The sequence below is a fragment of the Homo sapiens genome, chromosome 15, assembly GCF_000001405.40.
Source record: "Homo sapiens chromosome 15, GRCh38.p14 Primary Assembly".
Taxonomy (NCBI): Eukaryota; Metazoa; Chordata; class Mammalia; order Primates; family Hominidae; genus Homo; species Homo sapiens.
Window position 1 is genome coordinate 74,610,246 of NC_000015.10, and position 20,063 is coordinate 74,630,308.

The window sequence follows — 20,063 nt, forward strand, 5'->3', positions numbered from 1 at the left end:
GATGGTCTGCCTGTTCCCTGCCACCCCACCCCTCCCCCACAGCCCAGCCCCACTCACTTGTCTTCTATGTTCTGGTCTGGCCTCCTCCACTCAGCCTGTCCCTGGGATCCCTGCATCTGGTGCCTCTCCTGCTCCAGGCAGGCCAGGGAGCACTCCACCTGCTAGGAGGAGGCTGAGTGGGAGGGCTGAAGGCAGCACAGAGCCTCAGATAGGTAGGGCTAGCTTCCCTGCCTCCCACCAGGCAGGGCAGTGTCTGCAGCCTTTGATAACGCAGGCGGACTGGCAGCCAGCAGCCCAGCTGACAGCCCAACATGGACCCATGCCCTGGCTTATATACAAGGGACTGTGCCCTGGGGCCCTGAGGGGCTGCTTTTGGCTGTTATCTATCACGACAGGCTCCAGCTGTGCATCTCTACCTCCAGCTGGGCCCGAGATACACCGCCTCTCCAGCTGCTCTCCAGCTGCTGACAGCTTCAGGGTGGAGGCCAGCAGGACTGCTGTGGCATGCTAAAGGGCAGGCAGACATGAGGTTGTCAACTGGGTCCCAAGGGTCCCCCAGGCCTGGTAGGGAGCAGTGGCTCCAGGTGGGCCAGCTGTGAGCTAAGACACAGAGTCACTGAAGGCTTGCGTAACTGGGCCATCACACGGTGTCCCTTTCCTACCCTCACATGAGGCAGAGATCCTGGTAACCTTCCCAAGAACCCTCAGCTTGCACAGCCATCTCCCCCTCTCTGGGGCTCGCCTGTTTCACTCGGGGAGATTGGGCTTCTAAGGAAGCTCTTCAGTCTATGGAGCTAAAACCAGCCCCTCCCTCCCTCAGATTCTCCCTGGGGGGCCACAGGGACCCTGGCCCTTCCTTCACCTCCAGCAGTGTCCCTAGCCACCCCCAGCATATGCCTCTCAGGCAACACCCTGCACCCTTCCAGGGGCACCATTCAGAGACATCTCTGTTCAACACCGCAGCCTTGCTGGGGACTCCATTTCCCTTTCTCCTCTGGGTGCCCCAGACCCCGGAAAGCCTCCCTGAGAATATGGCACCAGATGTGGACACCAGCTCTGGGCATTCTGGAGCTTCAGCCTGCTAAGGGGATCTTGCTAGCTCAGGGGACCTCCTTTCAGCTACAGAAAGCCCAGGAAGAAGGAATGGGGGAGGACAGGGCCTCACTTTCTGCTTTAGGGACCAGCCAAGTCCCAGCTTGTGCTCCCGCCTCTGCAGCACCAGGGCTTGCTCCGACAGGGCCTCCGGCACTGCCCGAAGACGGCTTGCCAGCTCGGCCCTCTGCTGCCTGCTTTCTGCCAGCTGCTCCCACAGGTCCTTCTCTGCCCGCCTCCAGTCCCGCTCGGGGGCCCTGTTGGAGCACATGCCAGGGAAAGAGGAGCCAGACTTCAGCCCAGGCCCCAGGGGGCTGCCATGCCCAACTTTCCTATGCTCACCTGCACCCTTCAGTGGGGCTTGGTGGGCAGACACGGTCCAATGCCCCGAGGAAATAGGAGTTCCAGAGACAGCGGGCAGGGCTGGGCATCAAGTCCATGGGCTCTGCCTCAGTGGGACCTGAGAACAGGACAGATCCTGGAGCTGGGGTAGTCTTGGCTTCCCAAAGCACCAGGCTCTGAGGCCTCTTCTCAGACTCAGAATTGAGGCCCTTTGGCTGAGCACGCACTAAAACCCTTCAACCCTGATCCTCTGGCCCGAAAGTCTCCTGGTGATTGGAACTTCACTAAACACCAGCCTCAACTCCACTAAACAGTTCTCAGTTCCCAGTGGTTTCCATGAGCTGTGGGTGCTGCCAGGGGTGGCCACTTGCTGAACACAAACCCCATTATCCTCACAGCAGCTGGTCTGGGGAGGCGCAGCAGGCACTCCTGAGGGGAAATTGGTGCCCAAGTCCGGCAGGGAGTCCCGTGAGGAGCTGCAATCCCCACCCAACACTGTCTGCACCAGAGCCACGTTCCCCCTTCCAGTGTGGAAGTCTGGAAATGGCAGGGGAGCATTTGGGGGCCACCACAGTTTAGCTATGATGTGGGGGTCAGAGCCCTTAAGTCAAGTCACTGCTCAGGTACCTCTCTGGCTTCCATAGCTTCAGCTGTAATATGGAGGCCCTGACGGACCTCTCACCCACCAGCTTGGTGAGGAAGGTCAGAGGGTAGACAGGGGCTATTCTGCCAGTGTTGCCATCCCTACACCCCTCACCATCACCCTCCTCACCTCTAGGGTCTGGGCCCAAGTCCACTGCCTCCCAACTCCCAACCCTGGGCACGAGGCACCCTGCCCTGGCTCTGAAAGGGCACAGGAGTTGTCTTCACCTAAGCAGTGGTTACACCTAGCACCTCTACCACCCCCACCCTGACCTCCCCACTCCTCACATTCCCAGGCCTTCTCCACTCAGGATGGCACCATCGCCCACCAGGCCTTCTCCCCACTGGACAGCTTGACTCTCCTCTCCCCTTACTCCAGGCCCAGGCTCCTGCAGCCCCCTCCAAAATTGTCTCCCCTCCAAAATGTCACTGCCACACAAGGCTTCTCTAAGACAGACCATGAGGACTGGCCGCTGCCCCCACCTCCCATACTGGGTACAGCTCCCACAATGCCACTCTACCTGGGTGCTCTGTCTTGCCAGTTAGAAGTGACAGGCTTTCCATGGCAGCCCCCTGCCCTTAGTGAGAAGCTGAGCTGTGCCCAGCTTGGTCCGGGAGGGGCTCATGGTCCACAGAATGGAGTGCACATGCAGGCCAGATTGTCCTGAGCAGGGGGGCAGGCCAGGGCAGCCCCAGGAAGGCTTTCCAGGGAGGTGACCCTGGGGCCAAGGCTCAGAGGTGAATTAACTGCCTCCAGAGAAGGCAAAGTCAGATGAGGCAGACAGAGGAGACAGTAAGGACAATAGAACAAGGAGGGCATCAGAGCAGCTGGGCCTGGCGGGCAGTGAACTGAGCCCTAAGCTTGGTGGAAGTGGAGGTGGGGGGCAAAAGGGAGACCAAAAGGGGTGAGAGGAGCTGTGGGGTTTGGGAGGATGCAGGGCAGCGGCACCTCCCCAGTGCCCTTGAGATATGCTACAGACCTCAACTCCACAGAGGCTGAGGACCCAGACAGGAGCTTGGGCCTGAGGGGCAGTGGAGGTGGAGCAAGCCTCCTCTGAGGTGGGGATGGGAGTGGAGGAGTTACCCAAACCTCACCTGGGGGCAGATCTTTCTCCAAGTTTCTGAAAGGTGTGAAAGTCACAAAAGAATGAAGCTCTAAGGGTAGAATCTCAGGCAGGATGGCCTCCAGGCTGCAAAGTGTGGAGAGGGAGACAGCTGGGAGATGGCTTCTGTTCCACCTCAGAAAAAGAGAGTTGCTTCGTGGCTGGGAGGTAGGGACTCCTGGATTCTCAGTGGTGGGCAGTTTTGTGGGAAGGTGACTAACTTACCCCATCAGAGCCTATAGCTCAGGGCAGGGCTGGGGACAGAAGCTTCTCTGAGAACATCCATCCCGGGGACAGAAGCTTCTCTGAGAACATCCATCCCTCAGGGCTAGTATCCTGGAGCCATGGAAACTCAGGCAACACTAAGTGGTGGGAGGAGGAGACACCAGAGAGGCCTCCTACTCCACCTCATCTGAGCTGATGAAACCCCGAGATGGAACCTGGCTAGTGTGGTCGAGGCCATGGGTACCAGGCAGGAATGGCATCTCAGATGGCCTGGGATTTTTCAAAATCTTCAGCTTTTGAGATAGGACCTTAGGGGGCAGGACCTCAGCAGCCAATCTGGGTCACCCACTGTACACTGAAGCGGCTCCTAACTTTCTTTTTTGAGACGGAGTTTTGCTCTCTTGCGCAGGCTGCAGTGAAGTGGCGCGATCTCGGCTCACTGCAATCTCTGCCTCCCGGGTTTAAGTGATTCTCCCACCTCAGCCTCCCGAGCATCTGGGACTACAGGCGCGTGCCACCACGTCTAGCTAATTTTTGTATTTTTAGTAGAGACGGGGTTTCGCCATGTTGGCCAGACTGGTCTCGAATTCCTGACCTCAGGTGATCATCCACCTCAGCCTCCCAAAGTACTGGGATTAGAGGGGTGAACCACCGCGCTTGGCCGATTTTTTGTTTATTTTTTGAGACAGGGTCTCCTTCTGTCGACCAGGCTGGAGTGCAGTGGTGTGATCATAGCTCACTGCAATCTCAACCTCCTGGGATCAAGCGATCCTCCTGCCTCAGTCCCCTGCAAGGAGCTGGAACTACAGGCATGCGCCACCCAGTCCGGCTAATTTTTGTAATTTTTTGGAAGGGGACCCAGTTTTGAATTAGCTTCTGTTGTTTACTTCGGATAGCCATGGTGGAGCTGGCAGAGATTTAGGGGATACTAAACACCCCTACAAATCACGCCTTGAAACCCCCCGTTTCAGGGAGAGCCGCTGGCGAAGGACTTGATGCGCAGCCGCAGCTCGGAAGCGGGGGGCTCCCCTGCGACACCTCCCCGCTTCAGGGGCGGGCCCAGACCCGCGGGGAGGGGCATGGGCGGGGCCGCGGCTGGCTGGCGGCCGCCGGGGCGGTGCTGGGGAAACCCTTGGCGCCCCCGCGGAGCGGTCCCAAGGAGGGGGCGGTGCCTGGAGGGATGGTCCGCCCCGACTGCGGGTTTCTAGCCCTCGCGTGGCGTGGGGACAATTAGGCGCCACGCCCTGTCGCTTCACTGCGCGACGCTCGCGAGGCCGGGGACGCCACTCCCAGACCGGGCGGGACGCGCACGCTCACAGTGAGGTCTCAAAAGATCCCCACCTCAGTTTTCTCATCTGGAAAGTGGGGCCTCGTAATCCTGTCCGACCCGGCGCGGGACAGTAGGTGTCAGGGATTTTGGTGACCCCACGCTCGAGGCCTCTGCAAAAGGGGGCTGTCCAGTGGCCCAGAGACGCAGCCGGCGGGGCTTTTGTCTAGCGGGGGAGTCTTAACTGAGAGGCCACGCAGGCCGGCAGGAAGCCGCTCCACAGGAGGGGGCTCAAGGAGAGGGGATCTCCTCCCTCCAGACTCCGGCCCCGCCAGAGTAGCTCTAGGGTATCTTCCCAGAAACTGCCCCGCACGCACTGGCGAGCTGGGAGCGCCACCACGGCTTTCAAAAAACCCGCACACACCAAGATAATAATGTGTCGTTCGCTCGTTTCGCGCAAGCGGAGTCGCGTCCGCCTTCCCGAGCTCCGGCACACAGACCTCAGGCCGCTCTCGCGCTCTCCGGGGCCCCGAGAACAATGCCCGTCCTCTCCGCGCGCAGGAGGGAGTTGGCGGACCACGCGGGGTCGGGGCGACGGAGCGGGCCCAGCCCCACGGCCAGGTCGGGGCCCCACCTCTCGGCTCTGAGAGCCCAGCCGGCCCGGGCCGCGCACCTGTCAGGTCGGGGGACCTACGTGCGCCGCGACACGGCGGGAGGCGGGCCGGGCCAGGCTCGTCCCCTCGGCCCTCCCGGAACTAGTCTCCTAGGCCGCGGCGCCCGCCGGAGCGGAGAGGGCTGGTGCCCCGGAGCCTTCGAGTCGGGGGCTAGAGCGGCCAGGCCTCCGAGCCGGGTCGAGCCGAGGCTGGCGACGGCTGCGTCACGCGAGGGGGCGGGGCTGCCACGGGCGGAGGTCGCAGCCGGAAGCGGAAGAGGCGCTCGGAGCGGGGAGTGGGGCCTAGCTGCAGCCGGAGCCTGGGAGACGGTAAGTGTGGGCTGGGGTCCGCGGCGGCGACAGCGGCGGCGGCGGCCGGGGGTGAGTCGGCGGGGCAGGCGCGCTGGTGCCATTCGGTCTCGGCCTACTCCCTTTCTTTCTCCTCTTCGGCCCATATCGGGCCGCGACCTCTCACCCCTGACCCGCTGCTTCTGCCCCGGAGGGCGGTCACTGCAGACCCTGACCTCGACCCCACGGTGTTGAAGGCGGAGCCTGAACGGCCTCTGGGGCCGCTCAAGGGTCCAGTTTGGGCTCTGTGCCTGCCCGCGGAATGGGGTCGGGGTCCGACGTAGAAGAGCCAGAGAAGCCCTTCAGACCCCTCCCCTACCCCTGGCTTCAGGCTTAGTCCGCAGATGACTCCTCCCTTGGCGGCCTGGAGTTTGATTCTGGCCCAGTCCGGCTTTCCCTCTGTCCCCGGGTCTCCCCTCGGCGCCACTGGTGGCGGTTACAGGGGATGGGACTCTGAGACCCCCTGGGACCTGGGGCGGCAGGAAGGGACGCGAACGAGGGCGCAGGCTCCCCTGTGTGTTTTGTTGTGGTGGTAGAGCCACTCCAGCCCGGAGGATGGGCTAGGCCAAGCTGACAGTTCAAATCCCCTGGCTGCTCCTCCGTCCCGCCCGGGAGTCTCTAGCTTTAGTTCCGGGTGTGGGTGCCCTGATGTGGAGCTGGGGTGGAAATTGCCTGAACCAGGCCCCCATCAGAGGCGGAGTTGGCGGCCTTCCAGCTTCCCTTCTTGATGCCCTTGAAAAGGAGGAGCGTTTCACCGTTGGTGGTGGAGGCTTGCGAGGTGGCAGGTTTGAGGTTGCAGTGGTAGGGCAGTCCAGCCAAAAATAACCATGGGTGCTGGGGTGGCTGGAATCCGGGAGGGCAGCCGCTGACCTGGCTGGCTGCACTTCTAGTCAGCCCAGTTCTCTGGCCAGGAACAGCAAATGAGAAGCCGACAAGGCCTGTGCTCAAAGTTGACATCCTTGGCTTGGTTTTCTTCATATCACCTTTTTCCTCATTGTGCAGAGCAGAGCTTCCCAAAGCATAATTGTGGCCTTTAGCTGCTTTTTAAACAAGCTGTTTGCTGAGGTTTTCGAGAATCAGAGATAATTGAGAAATGGGCCCTAGAGCCCTGGCTGGGAGGATGATATCTGCTATTTCCAATATTTTACTTGCCTAGAATGTGTTAAAGGAAGGATACTCTTCTCTGTTATTGCTTTGTGTGTGGTACCTTATAACTCTCATGCTTGTCATCTCTTTTGCCAGGCTGAGAGATGTTATCTCCATTTTCCAGGCATGCTAACCAAGGCCTAGAGTGACTTGTCTAAGGTCATGAGGCTGGTATGTGACAGCACTAGGATTTAGTTTAGTTTTCTGCCAGAGCTCTTGCCTCCCAGTTTCCTTGGAAGGGACTTATAAAATGTCTGTAAGGCATTTAACACAGCCCTGAAGTGTTACCTGGAACTTTCAGATGTTCATGAAAAGCTGCCACTAGTACCTCTGTGGGCACAAAGCTGTGCTAGGCATTTCACTTATAGGAGAGAGATATTTAATCCTCACAGAACCTTGTAAGAGATTACTATTCCCTTGTTGCAAGATGAAGCTGACGGTCAGAGTAGTGTAATAATTTGTTCAAAGGCACACAGCTAGAAGTGGCAAGCCATGATTCAGATTGACATCTATATGACTCTGAAATTTTGTTTTCCATTGATGTGAATATGTATGGACATAAGAATCTTCTAGGTCCCAGGAGGTAGTCTTTGGCGTGGTGTGACTGTGACTGTGTCCTCCAGCTCTGGTGTTTGTCTGCCCAGTGAGGATGGGCAGGACCATACTTGCCTTGTGGCACGACATGTGCCCTGGCCAATAGAGCATCTTCTGGGTCAATTAGTGGGGTGTGAGTTCCTGCTTTCATTCCATAGCTTGGGCACCTGACCCAGAGTAATTGCAGGAAAACAGTGAAATATTAGTCAGCTGATTACCAAAACAACAAATCTAAGCTTTTGGGGAGGTGATTTCACAAAATATTTATCTCCAAAGACTTCCCAGGTACACGGGGGAAGACAAGTTAGTGGGGAGATGGAGGGCTTTCTTAGGGACACGGAGAGGCTCCCAGGGGTTTGGTCACATAGGCCTCACTGTCCTGCTCAAGCATGGGGAGCTGTTCTATGCTGCTTTTCTCCTGACAGACCCTGCTGGTGAGATGGGGCAGCCTCAGTGGGTTTGTACAAAATGTGCTTGGCCAGGCAAGCTCAGGACTGACCATGACTGGAGGTTGGCTGTGGCCAAGTGTGAGTGTTGGGAAGAAGGCTGGCTCCATGGAGGCAGTCAGGGATTGACGTATGGGTGGAGCAGGTTGCTGGCCTCACATGGCCAGCTTTCTCCGCTGGTGGCAGATCCAGCCTGGCAATTTCATTTGGTGGATATAAGTCCTCACTGAACAGGGATAGTGAGGTGGGGCTCTTTTACCTGCCAGATGGCTAACCCTCTGGCTATCCTGGGATAGGCGGAGGGTAGGATACTAGAGCCAGAGAGCTAGAAGAAGGGACAGTAACGGTACTGTTGGATAAAGGCAAGGCACCTGGCAGGGCACTGTGGGGGTCTAAAAGGGTGCTAAATGGGCCTCTGGAAAGAAAGTTAGATGCGCTGGGTCCACGTCCCCTTGGGTTGACCCTCAGGAGGGCTATGGAATGTTTGTGAGGCCTGTGTGCCTCTTTCTCCAAGGGCTGCTCTTCTAGTCTCTTGTGGCTCCTCATGCTCACTTGTGGTCCTTACTCCCTTGAGTGGGGTCCAGTTCAGGGCCCTAGCCAGACAGCGTTCAGCTTCTCAAACTTGAGGGCTTTGAGCCCTCGCCTCCTGTGTACAGCCCTTTGCCTGGCCTTTGGCTTTACAGAGCATTCACTTCACGGGACCGCCCCCCCGGGCGGGAGGGAATAGAGTGCAGGAGGCTCCCCTTTCTCCTGCCTTTGATCTCCCTGTGGTAGTGTTCACCGTCCCCACCCAGGGTTACTGCCTCAGCCCCTGGCCCTGGCTCACCCAGTTCCCTGAGCACCCAGGCCACCAGGCTAGTGATGCTCTGCTGGGAGCTGTTTGTTTGTTCACTGGCAGAGAAAGTTGTTTCCTATTGTCTGCTGTTTGACCAGTGTGACCTCAGAGTTCTTCTTCACTTCATAAACCTCTGGGAGGGGCCGCCTTCAAACAGAACAATGGGCCTCTTCAGGAGCAACCGGGAAGCCCCAGCAGCCCCATGGCTGGAGGTGGCTGGCTGTGTGTTTAGCAGGGCTCTCTGTTCCTCGTGGCCTAGATGCATCACTGTAAGCGATACCGCTCCCCTGAACCAGACCCGTACCTGAGCTACCGATGGAAGAGGAGGAGGTCCTACAGTCGGGAACATGAAGGGAGACTGCGATACCCGTCCCGAAGGGAGCCTCCCCCACGAAGATCTCGGTCCAGAAGGTGAGAGGGAACTAGATAGGAGGGAAAGACTCCTTCTGTCAGCTGGGCTCAGCTGTGGCAGCTCCAGACTCCTTGAGATGACTCCATCCCTGCCCAGCTGTCCCTGGATCCCTGCCCTGTCCTCTTTGGGCTCCTCCACTAACCTCACCTGCATGCCTTGGCCTCAGCAGTAGCTACCATCCTTGCCGCCCACTCTTTCTCTGTCTTGGAGTGCCTTTTCTTCTCCCCACACATTCCCCCATTTTCTAGGCCAGCATCTTTCCGCTTAACCTCCTAAGCCTTCCTTGGTGAGGATTAGGAACATAACCTCACCCCTGGAAAGTTTGCTCCCTGGGCCTATCTTAGCTCCCAGGTCAAACTTAGAGTTGCAGCAGGCCACAGGGAACTCTGGAAGGGTATAGAACCCTTGGAGGCACTCTACCATACTCCCCTTCCCCTGTACCCCTCCTCCTACAGCTGGAGGATGCTGTCGTTGGACAGGGCTCTGGAGGGCGGGCTTAGTACCTTTGCACCCTCCCCTCTCTGCCCACTTCCCACCAGTGTGGATGCTTTTAGCACAGGCTGTCCCCCTTTAGCCCTTTACAGTGGCCTTACCACAGGTCTCTTGCTTGCTAACAGCAAGGACCCAGCTGACCAGCGTCCCCATCCCCCTTTTGGCAGCCATGACCGCCTGCCCTACCAGAGGAGGTACCGGGAGCGCCGTGACAGCGATACATACCGGTGTGAAGAGCGGAGCCCATCCTTTGGAGAGGACTACTATGGACCTTCACGTTCTCGTCATCGTCGGCGATCGCGGGAGAGGGGGCCATACCGGACCCGCAAGCATGCCCACCACTGCCACAAACGCCGCACCAGGTCTTGTAGCAGCGCCTCCTCGGTGAGTGGTAGCCAGAGTGTGCTGGCTGGGGCTTAAAGGCCTCATCTCTTCCTAGCCTTCTCTCAGGCTGGCTGGTCCGGGTGAGTACTGCCAGCCCTGTGCACGTGCACTGGTGTGCGTGCATGTGTGTGTGTATGTGTTGTCTGGTCCAGGTGTAGGGCTGATCACAGGGTCCTGGCCTCTGTGTCTTCTGGCTCTTTCCAGTGGCAACTGTAGGAACTCTGGCTCCGATGCTGGCTGGCCCCTGGCCTGTCTATGTCTACACAGTGCTCCAGACAAAGGCCACGTGGTGCAAGTGGCTGGGGACACTTCTTAGGACACTTCTTAGGGATCCTAGTAGAGTGGCTGGTATGGTGGTCTGCAGCTATATGGCCTGGTCCTTCCCACCCAGAGACTGCCTCCTCGTGTAACTGAGTGCTCTGATGTGGACTGCACCCACCTCTGCGTCTCATCTGCACACCCCTTCCCAAAGGCCCCCAGTCTGGAGTGCCTCACAGGACCGGAGGATTTGCCTGTCAGCCAGCTCAGACTGGGAACTTCCCTTCTGATCTCCAGCCAGGCCCTCTCCAGCCGAGCCTCTTTACGAGGGGCAGTCGCGGTGAGGAGGGGCAGGTGCCTGTGTGATGGGGCATGTGAAGAAATGGCAGAAAGGCTGCCGCCCCAGGCCTCGTCCAGTTGCAGGCCACATGCCCAGAGCAGGGCCTGGCCAGTATTCCTAGCATGGAGGGTTGTAAGGTCTCTGGAGCCCACATTGCGCTCAGTCCCCTGGGGAAGCAAAGCCAGTTGTGTATTTCCGAGGTTACGTGCGGTCTTCTCTTCTCCCCCATCCCTCTTCCCTGCCTCCCTCCTGCCGGCCTTGAGGCCCCTGAGGAGCAGTGGAGAGGCCAGGTGTCTTCTCTGCCCAGCGCTTTCTGTGACTTCTTTGAGTGGCTACAGGTTGAGGGTTGACTGTGCGGGCGATTGCAGCGTGGCCCTTTCACCTCTTTGCACACTGCCACATGCTGCCACAGGATGGCAGTGCAGGTCTGGCTCTGTTTCTCTGTTTGGTGCCCTCTATCGATCGTCGTGAGGCTTGGGATGGGCCTAGATTGTGAGCAGCATGGGTGCCAAGGCCAGGGCAGGAGCTGGCATGGGGCCTGTGTGGGCCATTGTGGTAGGAAGCCTGGCAGTCGACTGGCCCAGAGGATCCCAGGCTGCTTTCCTTCTTGAGGCTGGTGGCAGGAGGGCTGCTGACGGAAGGCTGTTTCTGGTAGTGATGGTGAAATCTGGCCAAGGATGCCGTCTGGAGGCAGGTAGCAGCTTGGCTGTGAGTGGCAGCTGTCAGGCATGTGCAAGTCTGCGTGGGCGAACAGAGGCAGGCAAGGACAGGCTGGGCATTCTGCAGCTGAAGCCGGAGCAGCCGCTGACCAGTCTGGATGGTTGGACCCAGGCGGGGCCAGCTGCCTTCTTGCGCCGCCGTTCTCACTGCATCTTCCGCTCTGGCCCAAAGCCACATGGGAGGGTCTGGGAGGGAGAGACTCGGAGGAGGAGGAGGAGGGAGTCGGGGCGATGGCTCTCCTCACAGCGTGGCCCTCAGCAGCAGAGGCAGGTCATCTTCCTGAGCGTTTGTGGCGCTCCTCTTAAAGATAATGTCCGAGTTTTCTTTACATACCTGTAGCTGTTTTTACTTTTCTGTTTTTGAAGTCAGTTTGTGTCTTGACGTGTCCCTTGCAATATCCCTATCGTTATATATGCTGTGTGCCTTATGAAATGCTGGGATCTGGAAAATCCAACCAACCAACCCACCGGCTCCTCACCGTCTCCACCTCTGCCTTTGACTGACACCTCAATCTGTCAATCGGAACCGCCTACCATGCGATTGGTCGGATGGCGTTTCGGGGGGCGGTGCATGCAGAGAAGCCAACAGAGCAGTAAGCGCAGCAGCCGGAGTGTGGAAGATGACAAGGAGGGTCACCTGGTGTGCCGGATCGGCGATTGGCTCCAAGAGCGATGTACAGCCACCTTTCGTAAAACTTTACCTCTCTACTTTCTACCCCCCTTGTTAGACGAGACCTCTCCTGCCTGGAGGGGCCTCTAGTGCGCGTGGTGCCTTAGCGGGGCCACCAGTAATTGCCTGAATGACACAGACACTAGCAACTTCCATTTTTAAGAGTGTAGCAGTGAGAGAGAAACCTTTTTTGTTTTTGAGAATTTGAATGCTGTGAACTTGCAGGAGCTGCCAACCCCCTGCCCTCCAGATTCTCATGCCCAATTTCTTTTCTCTCCTAGATGAGATTGTGGGGAACCTGGGTGAAGGCACCTTTGGCAAGGTGGTGGAGTGCTTGGACCATGCCAGGTGAGCGAGCTGCGGCAGTACAGCTGGCTCCGGATGTGATCTTCCTGGGAAGAGCTGGCCTGAGGTTCTTGAGGGTGGCAGCTATCAGAGCTTAACTTTTTTCTTTTTGAAGGGTGGCATCAAAGTAGGGTTCCGACCTGTCCATGTTGGGGTTTTGCTGACCCCCTGTAATAAGGGAGAAATTCTTGGGTCCTGCAGTTATGTGGCATCCCTACCCAAGAATTGTTGGTCAGTGAAAGGTTCTGCTCCAATCTCTTCACTTCTCCAGGGCTGTGGTGGTGGATATCAGAACAGGGCCAAGGCCCCGGCTCCCCTGTGGCTTGGAGCTGCTTCCTGTGATAACTTTTAGGTTCTTGGCTTAGCAAGGGGCTAGGAGTACCAATAAGCCCAGCCCAAGCATAAGTCCCATTCCCTGAGGGTCTGCCTGAGAGGCTGTGCAGATCTCAGTCGAGAGAAACATGACCCTGGGCTTTCTCACCAAGCAGGCTGCTGCCTTCTTCAGTGTGACTAGGGTAGTGTGTGGTCTCCGCTGAGTGTGCCTGGGAGAGTGGGGTATACCTGTGTGTGTCATGCTGCACCTCACTCTCTCCCAAGCCCAACAGTACAATAGTTTTTTCCCCTTACCATTCCACAAGACTAGAACATTTGCTTCCTCTCCTATAGGTCTGGGTTGGGGAGGCCACCTCCAGGGAGCCAGTTGCCACCCTGCCATAGGCTCTCTAGTTGGTTTGGCACTTCAGCTACAAAGTGCTTGTGTCCTCATTGGAGCCACATGCCACCCATATGTGGCCCTCTCGCTATTTCAGAGATGAATAAACATGCTCAGGGTTTGCCTGCATCATACTCCAGTTAACAGCAGAGCTGGCCACCACTGCGCTGTAGTGCTCCTACATTAAATGGGGTGTTCAGGTCATTCAGACCCAGGCGTCCAGCCTTTCCTGTGGCCACGAGATAGACTGAGAGGAAGTGTCCATTTGCTCCAAGTTCCTATGTAAATGCCTGTACGACTCAGCGTGGCCCAAGAGGTTAGGGTTGGGACCAGTGGGTGGAGGGACATGCACAACCACACCGTGGCCAGGTGGAGACATGGCAGACTCAACAGCCGGGATGCATGTAGGCATTCTGGGCTGCTCCTCTCTCAGGAGCTGGAGGGAAAATGAGCCTCTGGAGTCACTAGGGGGCAGGTGGAGGGTCCAGGGAAACTTTACGGGACTCAAAGGGAGCCAGGGCCAGTGGGGGTTGTCATGCAGAGGCAGAATTCAGCTCAGCGAAAGGCAGGGTCTTATTCTAAGAGCAGTGCAACTCTGACAGGGGCTGCCTTGGAAGTGATGAGCTCCCTGTGCTGAGGACTGGAATGCCACGGAGGGACCCTGTTTTAGGAGGAGGCCGGAGTGCATGGCCTTTCCCCTGAGGTCCCTTCCTGCCCTGAGAATCTGGGAAAATAGGTAGGGAGAAAAAAGCAGGGGATTCTCTAGAAGGTCCCTTTATCCTGGGCCTGTGAGCCTTAGGCACCACAGTCAGCCTCCCTGAGGCCTCAGAGGACACGCCCTTCCAGGCTAGGACTGTCTCGTTCCCCACTGGGCATCTGAATTCTAGCTGTCCTTTCCTGACAGGGCCTGGCAGTTGAGCCTCAGCAGGTTTCCTTCTCTGCTGGCTCCCTGCAGATGGCCTCCTGGGGTGAGGTTGGGGGTGGGAGGCACAGAGCAGGGACTGTTAAAACCTTCTTTGGACACTTAAGAAGGGTTCCTGGCATTTTGTGGTCACTGATAAACACTGTGGCAGGTAGGTGCGGCTGGAGAGGGGTGTGGTAAAGGGAGTGGCCCTGGGCCTCACAGTGAGAGGTACCCTTGCTGGTACCCCTACCTCTTGCCAGATCTTTACTCGATCCTGGAACCCCCATCCCTGTTTGCTCAGACTTGCAGACAAGCTCAGGAAGGTCAAGAGGCGCCGCAGGAGGGTTCTCGGTGGGACAGCCTGGCCAGGGTTGGGGCTGCCTGGCCTATAGGTTAGGTCACTGTGTGAGCTCTTGGACTGGCACTGGTTAAGCAGGATTGGCCTCTACTCTCCCACACTCCTTTGGGAGCTGGCAGTGGCTGAGAACATAAAAGCCTAAGGATGGCAAGGATGCTAAGAGCATTAACTCACAGATCTCAGGGAGCTTGCTGTTGGGTGGGCAAAGGTCTGGTGTTGCATGGGGCAGGCTGGGCATCCAGTATCTGCTCTCTTCAGTGCCGGCTGCTCCTGGAGTGGTGTTTGTTGGGAGTTGCTGGGTTGGGGTGGAGGGTTGGGGAAGGACTGGGCAGCTGCTGATGAGAACCTCTGTTTCCTTCCCGGGTACCAGAGGGAAGTCTCAGGTTGCCCTGAAGATCATCCGCAACGTGGGCAAGTACCGGGAGGCTGCCCGGCTAGAAATCAACGTGCTCAAAAAAATCAAGGAGAAGGACAAAGAAAACAAGTTGTGAGTATCTGCAAGGAGTGGGAGGGAAGCCTTCAGTGGGGCTGCTGGACCCCCAGGGGCTTAGTAGTGTGCCTTCACCCATCCGCACTGTGCCTTCTCCCCACACTCAGAACCAGGGGAGTGTGGCAAAGGTCTTGCTGGAAGCCTTTAGACTGCAGTCCAGTCTTCACCCCAGCTGTCTCTGTGTCCTGAGGAAGGCCTCCCAGCCCTGCGTTTTGTGAATTGGGGAGCTCACTGGGTTATGCTGGGCATAAAACAAGATAAAAACATGAAGTTGGGGCTCTCACATAGTAGGAGATACCCAAAGGAGGGCCTTTCTGTGGCAGACACACTGAGCACTCTCCTCCACGCACTGTGCTGAGCCTGGGCAGATGGGTGAATCCAGCACAGACCCTCACGAAGCTCAGCAGAGTGAGCAAGTGGAGAAAAGCAGCACCAGTCCTGCGGAGTGCACTAGCACTTTCCATCTCTCCCTCAGCAACTCTGAGGCAGGGCTGCTTCCATATCATAAGTAGGGAAGCTCGGAGGGCTTGGACCAGAACCGTGGACATCTCCCCTACCCCCCGCAGGAAGCTTAGTCCTTGCCCAGAGCTCATCTGGGTATTGGGTGATGGCTGGTGGGGAGAGGTGCTCTTGCTCTGATTTCTCTTGCACTGTGTGTATCTGCATTCTGGTGTGTGACCCGGTGGCCTAGGAGAGAGTTGGGAACTGTCTTCATCTGAGAGAGGGGGTGAGGCAGGCCCCCAGCACACAGCCTGAGCCCTGCCCATCCTCCTCCTCCAGCCTGTGTGTCTTGATGTCTGACTGGTTCAACTTCCACGGTCACATGTGCATCGCCTTTGAGCTCCTGGGCAAGAACACCTTTGAGTTCCTGAAGGAGAATAACTTCCAGCCTTACCCCCTACCACATGTCCGGCACATGGCCTACCAGCTCTGCCACGCCCTTAGATGTAAGTGTCCACCCTCAAAAGAAGCATGGGCAGCCACATGCCTGCAGCCAAGTCATCTGGTTACTTGTTGTCCCCATTCATTCCAGCACGTTACTAACCATTCTCCTGGGCCTGAGGGACACCAGATCCCCTTTGGCGGAAAGGCCTGTCTTTGGGTGGGAATCTCAGTGTGAGGATGGAAAGGCTAGGGCTCCCTCCAGGGACCTCCTGGACCAGCCTCTCTACCCCCAGGCACTCAGGAAGAAAACAGAAACGAACTGCTCTGGAATTGGCCTAACCACCAACCCTGCCTCCCTGCTTCATGCATGGGATAAAAAGGTAGAAGCCTGACCTGACAGATAGCACCACAGGTCCTGCCCACATGGAGACCCTCGGTCTAACCCTGACTTGTCATCTCCCTGCCAGCCTGGAAAAGCATTATTTGGCAGTGCCAGGGCTCAGCGCAGTAGGATTTGCAATGGTTGCAGCAGTACAGAAAGGCTCCTTGGTGAAGTTGGTAGGCGTTGAGCTAGAATCGCTCAAGGTCACCCCGCATCGCTCCCCTACCCTGAGCACTGCTACTGTGATAGGCTGCAGGCCACTGGGGTGGGAAGCCCCACATGGATGAGAAGACAGGTGTCTTCCTCCTCCCACAGGATCTGCAAGATGGGACAGGGACAAGGATTCCAAGCAAGGGGAACAGCTTGGTGAGGCCTGGAGCCTGTTAACGGGCTGAGAATTGGCTCCAGTGGAGTAGACTGCCACTGGGGAGTGGTGGGCCACATAGTTGTGAGGGTCTTGAGTGCCAGATGGGATCCTTGAGCTGAAAAGTGACTACTAGCAAGAAGCCACTGTCAGAAGGGGCTGGAGGGGAAAGGCTTGCCTGCTTATGACTAGCAATGAGAGGCGGGGCTGTCTTCCTGGGTATGCGACCTGTGCACTCAGTCGCACAGGACCCTGTGCTTGATTTAATGTCCTTTTGCCACCACCTTAATATTCTTAGTAACTTGAACAGGGGACCTGCATTTTCATTTTGCAAAGGGCCCTGCAAATTATGTAGCTGGTGCAGGGAAGAGGGAACCACCTCGAGGCTGTTGCTGTAGCTCTGCTGAGAGACAGGTGAGGAGGCCTGGTCTCTGCAGAGGAGAGGTGGAGGGAGGTTTTTCGAATGGCAAATTTCTTTCCTACCCCCCTGCTAAAGTATCAGAACCCTCCAAGGCCTCAAGTACAGAGAACCCTTGAGAGGGAGGCCAGCACAGAGGCAGGCTGTAGTCCAGCTCCCTGCTGAGGTGGGGGTGTGAGGACCTCTGGCAGTTGCTGGCATTGGAAGAGGGGTCTGGCCTAGAGCTGGCAGGAGAGCCAGCTTCTCAGTGCCTACTTCCCCTTCTTTCCCTGCTACCTTAGTTCTGCATGAGAATCAGCTGACCCATACAGACTTGAAACCAGAGAACATCCTGTTTGTGAATTCTGAGTTTGAAACCCTCTACAATGAGCACAAGGTATTGGTGGGGGTAAGGGTGAGGCCCTGTTTCAGGGGTGGGTTACCCGCTGGTGCAGACTCCTGACCTGGCAGGCCTGCCTTGCCTTTCAGAGCTGTGAGGAGAAGTCAGTGAAGAACACCAGCATCCGAGTGGCTGACTTTGGCAGTGCCACATTTGACCATGAGCACCACACCACCATTGTGGCCACCCGTCACTATCGCCCGCCTGAGGTGATCCTTGGTGAGTGACTGTATGGCCTGTGACCTTGTCATACTGGACTGTTGTTGGGAGGGTATGAGCAGAGGCAGTGGCATGCCTGTCATTCTCTGCCACCCAGGGCAGGCAGAGTTTCTCAGACCAAGGGGCCAGTGTCATGAGACACAGGTGACTGACCTGGCTTTATCTGTCAGCCTTACTGAGAGAGGGCCTCGTACTGGGATTTGGGCAAGAGTCCTGCCAGCCGGTGTGGTGGCTGCCTTGTGACTTCCAGGCTGGAAGCATAAGGCCGGATCTCACAGCCTCTCCCCATCTTGGCTTGCAGAGCTGGGCTGGGCACAGCCCTGTGACGTCTGGAGCATTGGCTGCATTCTCTTTGAGTACTACCGGGGCTTCACACTCTTCCAGGTACAGCCACCCTGCATTGGTCCCCTACCCTGAGTACTGCTACTGTGATAGGCTGCAGGCCACTGGGGTGGGAAGCCCCACATGGATGAGAAGACAGGTGTCTTCCTCCTCCCACTAATCATCATGTGAGATTCAGACCCTTTAAGGATGTAGATGCTAAAGGGAAGGCAGAGGTCAGGGTAGCTGGAACACTCAGAGGAGTCTTATGCTAGGCCATCGAGGATGGAGGATGGGGTAGGAGGTGACCTGACCTTCTAGATAAGGGGCACAGATGACTAAAGGCATCGGGATGGGCTGGGACAGGGCATGTTCTGGGCAGGGAGTGAAGAGCTAACCAGAGAGAAATGTAGTCACAGCCCAGTCCACCTCCACCCACAAGGGCTGAGGAGCCTAGGCACAGGCTGGCAGGAGAAGCTGGGGCTGCCGCTTCATTGGTAGGTTTGCATGTCCTGGGGCAGTGAGGGCACTTGCCCATCTTTCTTGTTCCTTTTTCTCCTTGAAGGGGCCAGAGCTAGTACTGACCCCCTTGCACTGTCCCTAATCTTCCACAGACCCACGAAAACCGAGAGCACCTGGTGATGATGGAGAAGATCCTAGGGCCCATCCCATCACACATGATCCACCGTACCAGGTAAGGACCCCAGTAGCCCCCTCAGGGTTGGTATAGAGGCCTTTCTCTTCTTGGCTGTGGGTCAGCAGGGTACTGGATGTGGTGAGTCTTTGCTGGACAGTCCATGGTTCCGCAGGCTCCTAAAAGCCTTCCCTGTGTGCCCCTGCAGACCTGTTGCCCTGGTTCTGCTGCTGTCTTGGGAGCTGCTCTTCCCCACCTCCCACCAGAGGCTTGTCCCCTTACTACTCCCACACTTGACTCCACCCCCTTAATTTTCAGGAAGCAGAAATATTTCTACAAAGGGGGCCTAGTTTGGGATGAGAACAGCTCTGACGGCCGGTATGTGAAGGAGAACTGCAAACCTCTGAAGGTCAGTTTCTGGCTACCCCCAGCTGAACTCATGCCAAGGAGAGACCCCAGGCACTGGGCAGACATACAGCAGAGACAGGCCAGGCCGCTAAAGGCTGCCTCCTTGATCCAGCTCTATGGGAGGCGGCACCCAAGACTGCTGGGTGCTGGCAATGGGGCTTCTTGCAAACTGCCCCAGAGGGGCCCTTAGCCCTACCCCTTCCCCATAGGGTGGCTATGAATGTAATTGGGGAACACCAGAAGAGCCAGATGTCAGAAGCCCTGCTGCTTCCTGTCCCTCTCTCTCCTCGAAATTTTGGGAAGAACTAGGCAGGACTGAGGTGAGGGGGAGGGAAGACCTAGACATGGCCAGGAAGCCTCTGTCAACTGCATTTGGTGCTCGGACAAGTGAATTTCGCAGAGGTGATCTCTACCCACCTGTCAGGACTTTGCATGTGGGGGCAGAGGCATCAACCCAGCAAGACACCTAGTAGCCTGGCAAGTTCCGAGCAAAACGTTAAACAGGCATGAAAGGAAAGGAGCTGCTCATTGTCCAGGAGGGCGGAAGTAGAGTCCTCCAAGGAGGCATCACTGCCTCCTCGATCCAGTCCAGCAAGGCGTCCCAGAGGCAAGGGGACCTGCTGTGGCTTCCCACGACCCTGCCGTCACACTGAGGCACCTTGTGTCCCTGAGCAGAGTTACATGCTCCAAGACTCCCTGGAGCACGTGCAGCTGTTTGACCTGATGAGGAGGATGTTAGAATTTGACCCTGCCCAGCGCATCACACTGGCCGAGGCCCTGCTGCACCCCTTCTTTGCTGGCCTGACCCCTGAGGAGCGGTCCTTCCACACCAGCCGCAACCCAAGCAGATGACAGGCACAGGCCACCGCATGAGGAGATGGAGGGCGGGACTGGGCCGCCCAGCCCCTTGACTCCAGCCTCGACCGCCAGGCCCCAGGCCAGAGCCACCCAATGAACAGTGCAATGTGAAGGAAGGCAGGAGCCTGCAGGGGAGCAGACTTGGTGCCCAGCTGCCAGAAAGCACAGATTTGACCCAAGCTATTTATATGTTATAAAGTTATAATAAAGTGTTTCTTACTGTTTGTAACCCCTGGTACCAGTGTGTCCATCTCCAGGCTCCTTGCCTTCCCCTTACCTGACCTTATTAATAAAGTCTTTCTTAGCAGTTCAGCTTGTGGAGAGCTAAGTGTGAACTGGGCCAGGCACAGAAGAGCTAGGCAGGGGTAAGACCAGAATTGGGGACATCCTCTGGGCCCAGGCTGCTGAGCAGTCCTAGA

The 20,063-nt window shown here is 57.2% G+C and overlaps 2 protein-coding genes across 15 annotated transcripts in view, besides 6 other annotated features; one reads left to right on the plus strand and one right to left on the minus strand.

Annotated features, from left to right (window-relative positions):
* The window catches only part of CLK3-AS1 (CLK3 antisense RNA 1), a 16,874-nt gene extending 11,327 nt beyond the window's left edge, over window positions 1–5,547 (minus strand). For 11 of the 13 annotated variants that reach the window (XR_007064716.1, XR_002957744.2, XR_001751613.3 and 8 more), the window contains exon 1: window positions 58–184. The gene's annotated coding sequence lies outside the window, so the exon portion shown is untranslated. Of the gene's footprint in view, window positions 1–57; window positions 185–1,165 lie in introns of those variants that run through there. The other 2 variants (XR_007064714.1, XR_007064715.1) reach the window with 2 other exon arrangements.
* CLK3 (CDC like kinase 3) overlaps window positions 1–19,956 on the plus strand; it is a 21,830-nt gene extending 1,874 nt beyond the window's left edge. Inside the window, exons 1-13 of one of the 2 annotated variants that reach the window (NM_001130028.2) lie at window positions 5,591–5,653; window positions 8,952–9,103; window positions 9,764–9,980; window positions 11,875–11,971; window positions 12,249–12,315; window positions 14,657–14,773; window positions 15,557–15,723; window positions 17,107–17,201; window positions 17,294–17,423; window positions 17,725–17,807; window positions 18,359–18,438; window positions 18,697–18,787; window positions 19,462–19,956. In NM_001130028.2, the coding sequence (NP_001123500.2) occupies window positions 8,952–9,103; window positions 9,764–9,980; window positions 11,875–11,971; window positions 12,249–12,315; window positions 14,657–14,773; window positions 15,557–15,723; window positions 17,107–17,201; window positions 17,294–17,423; window positions 17,725–17,807; window positions 18,359–18,438; window positions 18,697–18,787; window positions 19,462–19,638 (1,473 nt within the window). In that variant the 5' untranslated portion in view covers window positions 5,591–5,653 and the 3' untranslated portion in view covers window positions 19,639–19,956. Of the gene's footprint in view, window positions 1–5,590; window positions 5,654–8,951; window positions 9,104–9,763; window positions 9,981–11,874; window positions 11,972–12,248; window positions 12,316–14,656; window positions 14,774–15,556; window positions 15,724–17,106; window positions 17,202–17,293; window positions 17,424–17,724; window positions 17,808–18,358; window positions 18,439–18,696; window positions 18,788–19,461 lie in introns of those variants that run through there. The other variant, NM_003992.5, reaches the window with a different exon arrangement.
* Window positions 4,366–4,685: a silencer, noted in NCBI's record as "silent region_6653". NCBI's record gives its function as "represses an Ori minimal core promoter by ATAC-STARR-seq in GM12878 lymphoblastoid cells {active_cell/tissue: GM12878}" and the evidence as "EXISTENCE:reporter gene assay evidence [ECO:0000049][PMID:35858748]".
* Window positions 5,106–5,645: a silencer, noted in NCBI's record as "silent region_6654". NCBI's record gives its function as "represses an Ori minimal core promoter by ATAC-STARR-seq in GM12878 lymphoblastoid cells {active_cell/tissue: GM12878}" and the evidence as "EXISTENCE:reporter gene assay evidence [ECO:0000049][PMID:35858748]".
* Window positions 5,734–6,345: an enhancer, noted in NCBI's record as "NANOG-H3K27ac-H3K4me1 hESC enhancer chr15:74908320-74908931 (GRCh37/hg19 assembly coordinates)". NCBI's record gives its function as "activates a minimal SCP1, AML or CMV promoter by ChIP-STARR-seq in primed H9 embryonic stem cells {active_cell/tissue: H9 hESC(primed)}" and the evidence as "EXISTENCE:reporter gene assay evidence [ECO:0000049][PMID:30033119]".
* Window positions 6,346–6,956: an enhancer, noted in NCBI's record as "NANOG-H3K27ac-H3K4me1 hESC enhancer chr15:74908932-74909542 (GRCh37/hg19 assembly coordinates)". NCBI's record gives its function as "activates a minimal SCP1, AML or CMV promoter by ChIP-STARR-seq in primed H9 embryonic stem cells {active_cell/tissue: H9 hESC(primed)}" and the evidence as "EXISTENCE:reporter gene assay evidence [ECO:0000049][PMID:30033119]".
* Window positions 11,275–11,324: an enhancer, noted in NCBI's record as "active region_9785". NCBI's record gives its function as "activates an Ori minimal core promoter by ATAC-STARR-seq in GM12878 lymphoblastoid cells {active_cell/tissue: GM12878}" and the evidence as "EXISTENCE:reporter gene assay evidence [ECO:0000049][PMID:35858748]".
* Window positions 19,080–19,580: an enhancer, noted in NCBI's record as "H3K4me1 hESC enhancer chr15:74921666-74922166 (GRCh37/hg19 assembly coordinates)". NCBI's record gives its function as "activates a minimal SCP1, AML or CMV promoter by ChIP-STARR-seq in primed H9 embryonic stem cells {active_cell/tissue: H9 hESC(primed)}" and the evidence as "EXISTENCE:reporter gene assay evidence [ECO:0000049][PMID:30033119]".